Consider the following 13134-nt stretch of genomic DNA (forward strand, 5'->3'; position numbering starts at 1 on the left):
CGGAAAGCCTCTCAGACAGGATCCAACTGCAGCCTTGGGGACTTGCATTGGGGGTGCTGTCATGACCCCACCCAGGGCCATGCCCCTGGCCCTGTGCTTCCTGCTCCTTCTTGACTTTTGTTCTCAGATAAACATTGGATCGAGTCATTCACACTAGTATAAATGAGGCTCAGTCCCAAGTCTGTGATAACCGGCGGTCCTAGAGACCTTCTACAGTAGCCTCTTGTTTGCTGACCAGTGAAGAGGAGGACCAGAGACTCACCCATGGCCACTCAGCCAGGCAGGACAGCACAGGACAGGACTGAAACCCAGGGTCCTCCTGGGGCAGCAGCTTCCTCCCAGAAGTGGTTCATGGTGGAGCCCCAGGCATTGTCTCTCAAGAAACGGTCTGCAGGTTGGTGACTGGAAGCCAGGGATCTGCCTTGCTTCCCCAGAGCCACCCCCTCCAGAAAGCATTCTGGGGACACAGGCTTGTCCAGGCCAGGAAGGTACGAGGCACACAGTGGGTGCTCAAATCAACAGACAAGCCCCTGTGAAGGGCTGGCATCGCTATCTTTATCACCACTATCATCCCGGCGGCTGAATCCCTACCTTGGGCCAGGGTCCTTCCCCAGTTATCTCTAATGTCCCCATGGAGACACTGGGGGGAGTGTGACTTGAGCCAGGGCACAGCCCAACCAGGACTCTGCTGGACTCAGTCTTCCGGGCCTCAGTGCCTGGTTTATAGAATGAGACTGACCCTAGGATCACTTTCTCAGGCTTGCTGTATTTGATCTGAGGCTGGAGCTGAGGGGCTCAGAGTTGGTGCCCATCATGAGATACGATCCTGGGGGGCTGGTGGGGGAAGGTGGGGTGCAGCAGGAGTTAGGCCTGGAGACCAGGGCCTCCAAGGCCAGGTATGGTCCAGCCCCTCCTGCTGGGGCTGATGCCACCTCCCGCTTCAAGGAGTCAAGCTGGGTTCCCGGGTGGGGCCACTCTGGCCAGGCCCCAGGGTGCAGCCTCGCCCCCTGAACACACTGTTGGGCCCCAACAGGCCCTGAGGCCCCAAGAGATATGTGCAAGAAGCCCTGGGATGGAATCCTCCAGGGCCTGGGTGGCACCAGGACTCCCCCAGGGCCCAGCAGCCCCCAGAGGACGGTCTGCGTGGTAAGTGGAGCCAAGAGCAGCAGAGAAGTGGGGCTCCCAGCTCACCACCCCTGGAGGAGCAGGCGGGGAAACAATGCTTATTAGGTGCCTGTGGTCATGACTGACTTTTCACTGCTGGGGAAACTGAGGCATGATGAGGATGGGTGACCTGTCCAGAGTCACACAGAAGGCCACTGACCCTCGAGATGCACTTCCACCCAGAGCTGCCTGGCCCCAGCTGGCCATGCAGACCTACAGGGAAAGGGCTGGCAGGGCTTCAAATCACCAGAACTTCCCACCCACCGGCCTGTCCCTGGCCATCCCTGGACAGAGCAGGCCACCTGAGGGCCAGCAGCACACAGGTGGCAGAGGTGCAGAGGTGGAGGGCAAAGTGCCTGGGCCCAACCCGGCTCCTCCACCTCCCTCCTCCTCCATGCACTGGGGACATAATGATGGCGCCGACCTCCTGGGGTTGCGCCCAAGCTGGGGGTCAGAAGCTGAGAACACTAGTCAATGCTCGGCGAGTATCACTCGGCGAGAGTCACCGTGCTCACCCGGAATTCATCCTCAGAACAGACCCCCTCCCGGCAGGAAAGCCTTCCTGGGTGGCTACAGGTTGATATCCCACAAACCCATCCCACGGCCTCCGTCTCCATCCTGTGTTGGGAGAAGGTGGAACTGGGGCACGAGCAACATCCGGGCAGCCCACGAGGACCCTCCCTGGCCCAGGGGACACAGATGGTACAGGGCAGGAAAGGTCAGCACCAAGGTGGGGGTGCCAGCCCCTGGATGAGGTCCCATTTGCCCGACGCTCTGCACAGCTCCATCACCAGGACAGCCAAGGAAATCTCACCACATCTTTTGCCCATCCACCTGTCCATCTGTCTGAGGCCAGAGTGCATGTGTGGACGGGGTACGAGGAAAGAGCTCTACAGCCCAAGCCCGGACTACCTGTGTCACCCGGGACAAGTGGCAGCCCCTCACAACCTCAGTTTCCAACTCCATATAATTGGGGCAGCTATGAAAGCTGCCTGACAGGCCTATGGGACAGTCTGCCTCATGTGGGGTTGTGTCAGGTTCAAAAATGTAAAAGGATAATCACGGGAAAGCCCAAGGTAAACCACCAAGGCTCTGCCGCAGTGGGGAGGGGATTATTATAATTGTTATCATTACTGTTCATGCATATGCCTTCCGTACAGAAATAGTCTGCCTGCCCCAAAGCCAGAAATTTCACCTTAGAGATTCATTCTTTTGGCAATTAAGGTCTTTCCCGTTACAAATATTATAAATGGGGTGTGGGGAGGGAACTCGGAGCAGGTCAGCCAGGGCCTGTGGGGAAGCGGCACATGGGGAGGGAAGAGACCTCTGGGGTTGAGACTCACCCGACCTGGAGACCTCCAAGGGGAGGCAGTCCGGCCTCCACGCTTGCCACTGCCCAAGCAAGGCCCACTAGTTCCCACGGCCTGGCCTGGCCCCACTCTGCTTGCAGCCTCAGTGGCCGCCTCCGAAGAAAGCTGGGAGCTCAGGGCTGGGTCCTTCTCCCCTGGGGCTGCAGCTCTTGTAAGGGCCTCCTGGGCTAGACCTTGGCCTCGATCCACTGCAGAGGGCTCTGGGCTGCGGCCTCTGGGCACCCTGAAGGCCTCCAGGGTCCCAGGGTCCAGAACCCGCACAGTGACCTCATCCAGGAACCTGGAGAAGGGCAGTCTGGCCTCCCGCCAGCGGCCCAGGCGTGCGAGGGAGCCAGTGACAGCCCGGCTGCCTGTGTTCAGGGACTCTGGGGAGGAAGGCTGGGCTGGCGACACCCGGGCCATCTCCTGGCTGGACCGAGCTGCCCAGCGGTGGCAAGATGCTTTGCCCTTGGGGTTCCGACCTTGGCTGGGGCTTGGCATGTGGCTTCGAAGGTCCTGTCTGTGAGCTTCCTTGATGGGGGCTTCTGTCCCGGGCTCCAGGAGGGAGCTGTAGCCGTCCTGCCTGGGACAGGTAGGGTTAGAGCCCCGTGCCTGGGAGCTGGCCCCTGAGAGCATCCTCCTGAGTCAGTCCAAGGTCCGGGCTCCCCAAGAGCGCCGTCACCCACTCCTCTCCTCCCATGGGGCTGGGATCCCTGTGCCCTCTTGGGGGCTGTGCCTCCCGTCCTCACAGGCCAGGGCTGCCTGCCAGATGCCCGCCTGCCCATTGATCCAGTGGCAGGGCCTCTTGGCCTCCCACCCCCAAATCGATTCTCACTAAATGAGAGCTGAGCTTCAGGGCTTAGAAAGTGCTAGAGAGGGGAAGGTCGTGTCCTGGGCTCTGCCTGGGGAGGAGCCCTCCCTGAGTGAGCTCCCATGGTGCACAGGGCCCTAGGCTGGGCCTCCCCCTCTCCTACTCTCACATCTCCTCTGCCAGGTGCGGTGCAGGGTGCAGGGGCACAGAGGACAGGCAGTGGACAGATGGCCACGGTGGCCACCATGATGGCTTGAGTGCTGGGCCTGAAGCAGGGCAAACTGGAACTGCAGCAAACCAGCAAATGGAAGGGGGTGGCAGAGGCTGCGGGCAGCCCACAGTCCTCCCATGCATCCTTATTACAGAGCCTTCATTTTCTTTTGAGATACAGGGTAGTCGGCTAAAAGACCACCTTTCCCAGGCTCCTATAAGCCAGGCCAGGAGGTAGCCAATGAACTATAAACAGAAGTTGGGTGTGACTGCTGGCAGAACTCTGCAGAAAAGATCAGACAGCCAGCCTGTGTCTTTTTCCCATTCACCAACCTCCTGCTTCTTCTCTAGAACATGGAAGTGATGGCTGGAGCTGTGGCAGCCATTTTGCACCATGAGACAAACTTGTGGCAGCAGCCATATATAAAAGATGGAGGAGCAGAAAGACAAAAGGAATCCGGATATCTCATGACCACTGAATCATCATCACACCAGCCTTGCATCATCTGCCTCTGGTACTTTTTTTTTTTTTTTTTTTTCTGAGATGGAGTTTCGCTCTTGTTGCCCAGGCTGGATTACAATGGCATGATCTCGGCTCACTGCAACTTCCGCTCCCAGATTCAAGCAATTCTCCTGCCTCAGCTTCCAAAGTAGTTGAGACTACAGGCGCCTGCTACCATGCCTGGCTAATTTTTGTATTTTTTGTAGACACAGAGTTTCACCATGTTGGTCAGGCTAGTCTCGAACTCCTGACCTCAGGTGATCCGCCTGCCTTGGCCTCCCAAAGTGCTGGGATTATAGGCGTGAGCCACTGTGCCTGGCCTGCTTCTGGTACTTCTTTAACTTGAAAGAAAAATAACCTCTTGTCTTTAAGCTATGGTTATTTCATCTCTGTTGGTAGCAGCTATGTGCAATTCTCCAATGATATACAGGGTTAGGGTGAGAAAAAGCAGTTGTTAACGCTATGAGCAAGAGCCTTTGGCACATGGAGGCCTCGGGTGTAGTTAGGTGGGAGTGGGGCCAGGGAGATAAACTTAGAGAAGGGTTAGAGCCAGACCTGGACCCTCCATCATTTGTGTGAAGGGAGACACGCCTGCCCACTGCACCCCACACAGAGATCCTTCCTAGGATGCGGCTTTAGGCTGCTAGACTGAAGGAAGGCTTTCCAGGGGTGGCAGCCCAGGCCCTTGGCCTGGTGGGCATTACCACCATCGCTGGCCTGGCCTCTGGTGCTGCTTGGAGCGAGGCTGAGGCCCTGTGTGGCATGCTCATAGCTGTACATCTGGGCTCTGTCTGGATGCCTCCATCAGGTGCTGAGGACCCCTGCTTTTCTGAGCTCTGCCGGACACCTCTCTGAATGCCCAAAGCGCCCCTGACTGAGTCTGCAAAACTCAGTGCGTGGCCTCACCATGGCCTCAGCCACCCAAGACAGGAACAGGGGCCGCTTCAACTCTTTCCTTCCCTCTTCCCTGTCCCCGCCCCTGGCTGCCAGGCCCTGGAGATTCAGCCTTTCTCAGGCCTGGCCACCTCCCTGCATCCTCACCATCACTTTGCTGGTACCAGACACTACCATGTCTCACTTGGACATCTGCGATCATCCCTTCCTGTGCCTCCTGAGTCGATGCGGATCCAGCCCGGCCTATCCCACAAACACGGCGAGTGTGACCTTTTAAAATCACAGACCAGGCCGGGTGCGGTGGCTCACGCCTGGAATCCCAGCACTTTGGGAGGCCGAGGCAGGCGGATCACCTGAGGTCAGGAGTTCGAGACTAGCCTAACCAACATGGTGAAACCCCATCTCTACTAAAAATACAAAAATTAGCTGGGTGTGGTGGCGCCTGCCTGTAGTCCCAGCCTTGGGAGGCTGAAGCAGAAGAATCACTTGAACCCGGGAGGCAGAGGTTGCAGTGAGCTGAGATCACACCACTGCACTCCAGCCTGGGTGACAGGGCAAGACTCTATCTAAAAAATAAACACATAAATAAAGAAAAAATAAATAAAATCACAGGCCAGGTGACTAGACAACGTCACACCTTCATATACACTGCAAGGCCCTGACAATTGCTGGTGTCTTCTCTCTCTCTCTGCTACCCTCCCGCCCCGTGCTCCCCGCTGCCAAGGAACGTCTCTCAGGTCCTGAATGTGCTAAGCTCTATCTGACCTCAGGGCCTTTGCACTTGCTTTCCCTCTGCCAGAAACACTCTCACTCTCTCCCTTCCCCTCCTTCCCATCATCTAATTCCCAGCTGACCTTCAGGGTCCCAGTTTCACAGCCTGTCCCCCTCTGTCCCTCAGATTAGATCAAGTACCCCTGCGGCAGCCCCTTATAGCCCTGGCCCCCAGCTGTAACTAATGTTTGCAATTATTTATTATCTGTGTGTGTGTCCCCCCGTAGAATGTAACTTCCACTGTATCCCAGCTCTTTGCATAGGGCCTGGCACATAGCAGGTGCTCAATGCGTAGTTCTTGAATGACTGACTGAATGAATGGCATAGCAGGTTCAGGCTGTCAGTTCACAAACATCCCCAGCCTGGTGTGGGCCTACTGTGACTGGAAACAGGATGAGAATATAGGGGAGGGATCTCAGGCTCTCGGGAGGCCACAGTGTCCTCCTCCCACCCTATGGTCCCCGACAGTCGCCCCTCTACACCCGGACAGCCCTTCCCCAGCAGCAGCCGTTCAGCCCCTGCCCTATTACCAGTGGGAAAGAGACTTGGAGGCTGGCAGATCCAAGTTCAAATCCCTTCTCCAACACTCCAACAGGCCTGCGGGCAAGCCACATCCCCTCCTCATCTGTCAGGTGGGCATGGGGCAGTACTCAGCCCATGGCAGTGCTGGGAAGTGGCATGAGCAAGGGACTTCAGGACTCATTAGCACTGGGGCTCTGATGTGGCCGTTTCACTAGCACGCATGGTTGCAGGAGTGTTCTGGGGGCTCTGGCCAACCAGTCCTCTGAGCTGCTTCCAGAGTTTCAGGCTGCATCAGGCAAGTTTCCGTTGTCATAACAACCTGCTGGCTCTCAGGCGCCTGGGCCTGAGGCTCTAAGGATGCTGCCGGCTACCGTGGGCTCACGGCCTGGACCTGCTCACCTACCAGCAGCCTGGACAACCTCTCCTGGAGGGGCTTCCGGCTCCTGGCACCGCAGCCCCTGCCTCTTGACTCATCTGATTCAGTCCTGCTTCCCAAGCCCATCCTGCGTGCCAAGCTCCGTGCTGTGCATGCGTCATCACCCCAAATCCCCACCCGCCTCTGTGCATCAGGACAGCCAAAGGCTCTATTTTCTGCTAAAAGAAGCAGGGTCTCAGAAAGGTGCAGTGACCCGTCGGAGGTCACATGGCTTGGGCATGTCAGGCCCAGGACAGAACCCCAAAGGTCAGGCACTCACACCCGTTTCCTCTCCAGATGCCCAAGCCCCTCTCCTGCTGCCTGGCACACACTGCCCCTGTGGTTGGAAAGCTGGCCCCTGCCAGCTCGGACAGAAGGGGCATGAGGCTGCCCACTGTCTGCTGGGATTGGAGCAGGAAGACCAGGCCACAGGATGTTGGGAGGACCCTGCCGAGTGGGCAGGCATGCCGGGCTTCTGCTGACAGTGCCAAACGTCACCTCGCTTCATTCTTACAGCAGGCCTGAAAGCTAGGAGCAGCTACCCCGCTTCACGGAGGAGGAAACTGGGCTCTGAGGGGTCTCGGGTAAACCCCCATGGTGCGGGCATGCGCCAGGGGCCGCAGCATAGGCCAGCAGAGGTGTGGTCACCTTCACCAACCTTCCCCTCGTCCCAGCACAGAAGTTTATTTTTTTTCCTTTCTTTCTTTTTTCTCTTTTGTTTTTGAGACAGGTCTCGCTCTGCTGCCAGGCTAGAGTGCAGTGGCGCGATCTCGGCTCACTGCAACCTCTGACTCCCCGGTTTAAGCGATTCTCCTGCCTCAGCCTCCCAAGTAGCTGGGATTACAGGCACGCACCACCATGCCCAGCTAATTTTTGTATTTTTAGTAGAGATGGGGTTTCTCCATGTTGGCCGGGATGGTCTTGATCTCCTGACCTCGTGATCGGCCCACCTCGGCCTCCCAAAGTGCTGGGATTACAGGCGTGAGCCACCGCGCCCAGTCAGAAGTGTCTATTATTATTCCCCTTTTGCAGTTGAGGACACTGAGGCTCTGGGAATCCGCACACTTGTGCTCCTAATCACCTGCCCCGCTGTCCCTGGATTTTCCACGCTGGCCTCAGAATCTCCAAGGGCAGCCATGGTCTTGATGTCTCCCAGTCCCCAGCACCCAACACAGGTGCCCCAGTTCTCTTCCTCAGATAGGACATGTACACAGCTGTCCAGGTCTTCCAGGGAGATCCCTGGGCAAGGACGCCCCTGTAGGAACCCCGGCTGGCCGCTGACCTTTCGAAGAGGTCTCACTGCTTCTTCCTTATTTCCTGAGTGGGTCTTCCAGGGCAAAGCGGGCCTGGAAAGGCCAAATAGCTGTTAGTTTGGGTTGGCTTTTCTCCCACCAAAGTCAAGGTGGGGTTAAGTCTCCCTGTCTGATCAGCCCCCTCCTGACCCTGCGCCTGCGTAGTATATGTCTCTGAAGCAGAGGGACATGGGGGTCTGTGAGCAAAACACTGGCATCTGGGAAATCAAGGCATGAGTGACCTGAAGCTTCACCCATTCAACCAACCGTCCTTCACCATCCACCCCTGTGACCGCTCACCCATTTACAGGTGCCATCCACGCACCAACACATCCTTCTGTCTCTGTGTCCCTCACCCGCTGATGGGCACTCATCTGTTCACTGGTCCTCTCACTCCCGTCTCCATCTGTCCGCCTGCCCATCCCTCCATGTCTGTCCATTCCTCTGTTACTTGTGTCTCGTATCCATGCATCCATTGCTTTGTATCCATTTGTGCACTGAGCTGCCTTCTCAGGCCTCTATCCACACATCCGTCAATATACACTCATCACCTATCCATGCACTCACTCTTCCAGTGTCCATTCATTCCTCTGTCCATCATTCATGGACATGTATTCAAGTATTCATCCACCCATCCCAACATCCAGGCACTACCTGTATCCATTTATGTATCCATTCCTTCATCCATCCATCCAAAGATCCTTCCATCCATTCATCTACCAATCTTGCCTTGTGTATCAGAAGTCTCCCTCCCTCCACCCATGTATCATCCATTGATATTTTGTTCTATCAATCCAGTCCTGTATCCATATCAACTTTTCCATCTGTCCACCCACCCATCCCTATCTTGCTACTTACATCCATCAACCTCTCCTCCCGTCCATCTATCCCTCTTTCTCTCTTTCTTTCTTTCTTTTCTTTTTTTCTTTCTTTCTCTCTCTCTCTTTCGTTTTTCTTCCTTTTTTTTTTTTTTTTTGATGGAGTCTCACTCTGTTGCCCAGGGGCTGGAGTGTAGTGGCACGATCTCGGCTCACTGCAACCTCACCTCTGCCTCCTGGGTTCAAGCAATTCTCCTGTCTCAGCCTCCCAAATGGCTGGAACTACAGGTGCACACCACCACACCCACCTAATTTTTTTTGTATTTTTATAGAGACGGGGTTTCACCATATTGGTCAGGCTGGTCTTGAACTCCTGACCTCAGGTGGTCCACTCACCTTGGCCTCCCAAAGTGCTGGGATTACAGGCGTGAGCCGCTGCGCCCAGCCTATCCCTCTAGGTTTCTACCCATCCATCCGCTGCTCTATCCTGCTAGTGCTTCCCTTCCATACAGTATCATCCACCCATGCATCCCCTTCAGCATGCCTGCGTTGCTTCTCCACCTCATGCACCTCTTAATCCCAGCATGCACCCACTGTGGGATGACCAGGCTTCCATGTCTGGCTTCCCCAGGCAAAGCCCAGGCCTGACCCATCTCCATCCCTGACTTGGGCTCAGGGCTTGCTGATTGAACCAATGACTGCAATTCCCCTGCTTGGCTCAGAGCTGGGCCCTGGCTGATCCCCACCCCAGGCAGACCACAGAGGCTGCTGTACTGTCCTCCAGACTCAAGGCCTGCTGAGGCAAGGGCCACTTTTGAGTTCCCTTCCTGGCTAGAGGGGAGAGAAGAGCCCCAGCAGCTCCTGACTCCTGCCGTACTGGCCAAGGTCCATGTCTCCCAGCAAACTGTGGACTCGTGGAGGGCAAGGTCTGTGTCAGACTCACCTAAGTGACCCCAATGAGCAGTGCAGAGTGGGTGCTTAGGTACAGCATGTTAGGTGAGTGTAGAATTCACACACTTAGTCATTCATCATTCATTCATTCATTCATTCCTATAATGATTAAAGCAATAGAGACACCTCTGGCCAGCTTCTCCCACCACAGGCTACAATCTGATGCCTGCTCTCAGGCCACAGAAGTCACTCCCCTGACTGTAATGGGTGTTAAGCTTCTGATACGGAGCCCTAGAGAGGAGACAGTGAGTCAGCGGCAGAGGAGGAACCAGAACCCAGGGCTGCAGACCTCCGTCCAGGCCTCTCCACTAAGGCTAGCGACCAGCTCTGCGGCAGGAAGGGGAGTCAGAAGAGAACCATGCGGGGTGATTCTAGACCAACACGGCGAGTCCTAGGGTCACCCACCCATCTGTCCCAGGGATCCTTACCTCCCTTAGGGGGAGGAGCCACACCTCCCCACCGCCATGGCTTCCACACTCCAGCAGGACACAGCCTCTCTAAGTCTTGAGACTTGAACACTCTACACTCTCCCCATCACCTTCAGGCCTTGGGCCAGGCTCCTGTAACACACCTTGACCCCTTCATCTGTTCAGCAACTACTCAGCCCTTGGACCCCACCTCCTGGGACCCTGGGTAATGATTTGTGGACTGTGTCCAATAGCCATGGACTCATGGGCTTCAGTCAATCCCTCCCATCCATCCATCCATCCATCCATCCATCCATCCATCCCTCCCTCCCTCCCTCCCTCCCATCCATCCATCCATCCATCCCATCCATCCATCCCTCCCATCCCTCCCATCCATCCCTCCTTCCCTCCCTCCCATCCATCCCTCCCTCCCTCCCTCCCATCCATCCATCCCTCCCTCCCTCCCTCCCATCCATCCATCCCTCCCATCCATCCCTCCCTCCCTCCCATCCATCCATCCATCCATCCATCCATCCATCCATCCATCCATTCATCCATCCATCCACTCTTCAGCATCAGGAGTGCCTGCAGGAGTAGGGAAGCTCCTTCAAAGTGTTGCCGTGGAGATGATGCGTGGAAATGCTGATCCAGGGCCCAGTACATAGCAGGCGTTCCATAAATGGCAGCTATGTGGGCCAGACCCTGCGCCCAAGTCTTGGGAGAGTGGATGGAAGATCTTCCAGATTGCTTAGGGCTCATTTCCTCTCTCCAGGCCTGGGCTCTGACAGGTGTCCCCCTACTCCACCCCAGCGCATGGAAAACTCATCCTCCAGGCTGAGGTTCTAGGCAGCCCTCCCCTCCCCACTCAGCTCCCAGGTGCGAACAGCTCCAGGTTTTGACGACAAACGGAACGCGGAGCCTTGGAATCTATAAATATGAGACAAAAGCTGGGGAGGGCCCTTGGCGGCAGCGCAGCCGCCCATCGCCCAGAGCCCGTGTGCTGAGCCCGGGCAGAGCCGCATCTGCCACAGTGCTTGCTTTTCCAAGCTGCCCTGATTATAGTGAGAGTCGGGAAAATTAAGGGTTTGCAGGATGCTGCTGGGGCCCTCTCTGCCGTCTCCCCGCCCTGCGTGTCACAGATGCCAGGCAGAGCCACCCCCAACGGCCAGTTGCCCCTGCTGGCAAGACCAAGGCCAGCCTGGCAGGGCTGCACACCGCAGTTTGTTAGGGGCTTCTGCCCACAGTCCTCGTGGGAGCCTGGCCCTGGGAGTAGTGGGGGTCTCTGCTGCTCTTGGCAGGCAGAGGAACTAGGGTCCAGAGAAGGAAAAGAACCTGTCCATGGCCTCCAGAGAGCCAGAGCACTGGGGCCTCCGACGGAGCCTGGCTGTGGAGACCCCGCCCCACCCATACCCCCAGGGCCTGGACCCCCAGTCTGCACTGGCGGCCGACCTTGGCCATGCGGACTTTGCACGTGCAGTGCTCCCTATCCATCCGGCCCCGCTCCCGGGTGCCCACTCTGCTCCCATTCTGCCGGCTCAGGAGACTCCAGCGCGTCGCCCACGCTGTTCCTGCCCTGAGGAAACCACATTGGGGATGGGGTGGGGCACAGACGAGGAAGGAAACACCTCTAAACCAAGCAGGAAGCGGAAACGCTGGGGCAGAAATTCCCATCCAACGTGCTGGGGCTCAGGGAGGGTGAGCGCGCCGGCTGAGCCGCTCTGGGCGAGGCCCTGGCCTCCCTGAGCCTCAGTTTCCTCGCCTGTAAAGGGGCAGGAGGATAGTACCTGCCGCGAGGTACTGAATGGGATGGTGGTGTCCGAGGTTCGTGCGCGCCCACGCGCTGCAAACGCTCAATGAGGCGGCCCCGGGTCCAGCCTCCTTCCGGCTCCCGGGCCTTTCTCCGGCCTCCCAAGCAGGGGCTGGCCCTGCCCCCAGACGCAGGCGGGTCCAGGCCTGCCCGCACCCTCGCCACCCGCCCGGGACAGCGGCGGGTCCCCAGTCCTCCGGCCGCGCCCTTGGTCACCCGTCCCTCCTTTCCTTCCGCCGCAGGGGCGCGCGTGTCAGGGCGCAAGGACCCCGCGATAGGACCCGGGCGCTCCCGGCGGCGCGCGGAGGCTGGGCATCCCCGCCCCACCCGAGAGTGCCCAGTTCCCAGGAGACCCGGCCCGGCTCCTCCCGGGCCAGTGAAGCCTCCACGGCGGGGGCGCAGCGCGGAGGGGAGCGGGGCGGGGGGCCGGCCACCTCCCGCGCTGAGCAGGGACCGCCCCAGGCGTGGGTGGCGCCCGCCCCGCCTCCGCGCCCGCGCCCGCGCCCTGCCCTCCCGGCTCGCAGGTACTCACCGCCCGGCGCAGCCGGCCCGGCCGGCGACCGCCAGTCCACATGGCCCCAGGGCAGCCGCGCCGCTCACCGCCGCCGCCGCTACCGCCGCCCCCTCCCCTCCGAGGCCGAGCGCGCCGGGAGCCGGCGCGGCCGGGGCTCCCCCACCCCGCCCGGCTTCCCGCAGGGAGCGCCCGCCCCCCGCCCCCAGCCCGGCTCCCCGCCAGCCCCGGCCCCGCGCAGCCGCGGCTGAGCCCGCGCGTCCTCCCGGCAGCGCCCGGCCGGGGCGCAAGTGGTGGGCGCAGGGCCGGGCAGGGGCGCGGGGGTGCGGCGTGCGCGGGGGCCAGGCGAGGAATGGCAGAGGGGCAGGGAATGAATGAACCCGCGCCAGCTTGAATGGCTGAGCGCGTGAATGAATGAGTGCGGTAGAGCATGCGGGGCTGGGGGGGCGGGGGGAATGAATAAATGAGAGAACTAATGCACGGGCGCGAAGGTGAGTGACAGAGTGAATGGGCCCTTGAAACCCAGAGGCTGTCAGTAATGACCTGCCCAACCTTTTCATCGGTCCATCCATTCAATCCCTCAACATTTATTAGACACCTAGTGTGTACCAACCAGCCCTGCTGTAGGCCCCAGGGGGTACAGTAGCGAGTGAAACCAAGCTCCTGCCCTCGCAGAGTCACATTTTACAGATGAGGAAACCCTGGCTCCC

The 13134-nt window shown here is 58.6% G+C and overlaps 1 protein-coding gene across 6 annotated transcripts in view; it reads right to left on the reverse strand.

Annotated features, from left to right (window-relative positions):
• Positions 1 to 12614, reverse strand: part of BEGAIN (brain enriched guanylate kinase associated) — a 50271-nt gene extending 37657 nt beyond the window's left edge. For all 6 annotated transcript variants that reach the window (NM_001385101.1, NM_001385102.1, NM_001385093.1 and 3 more), the window contains exon 1: positions 12446 to 12614. Coding sequence is in view for 4 of the 6 variants with exons in the window: in NM_001385093.1 (NP_001372022.1) it covers positions 12446 to 12487 (42 nt within the window). In the remaining 2 variants the exon portion in view is untranslated. The remainder of the gene's footprint in view (positions 1 to 12445) is intronic.
• Positions 12615 to 13134: the final 520 nt, after the last annotated feature.

This window comes from Homo sapiens, chromosome 14, assembly GCF_000001405.40.
Source record: "Homo sapiens chromosome 14, GRCh38.p14 Primary Assembly".
Taxonomy (NCBI): Eukaryota; Metazoa; Chordata; class Mammalia; order Primates; family Hominidae; genus Homo; species Homo sapiens.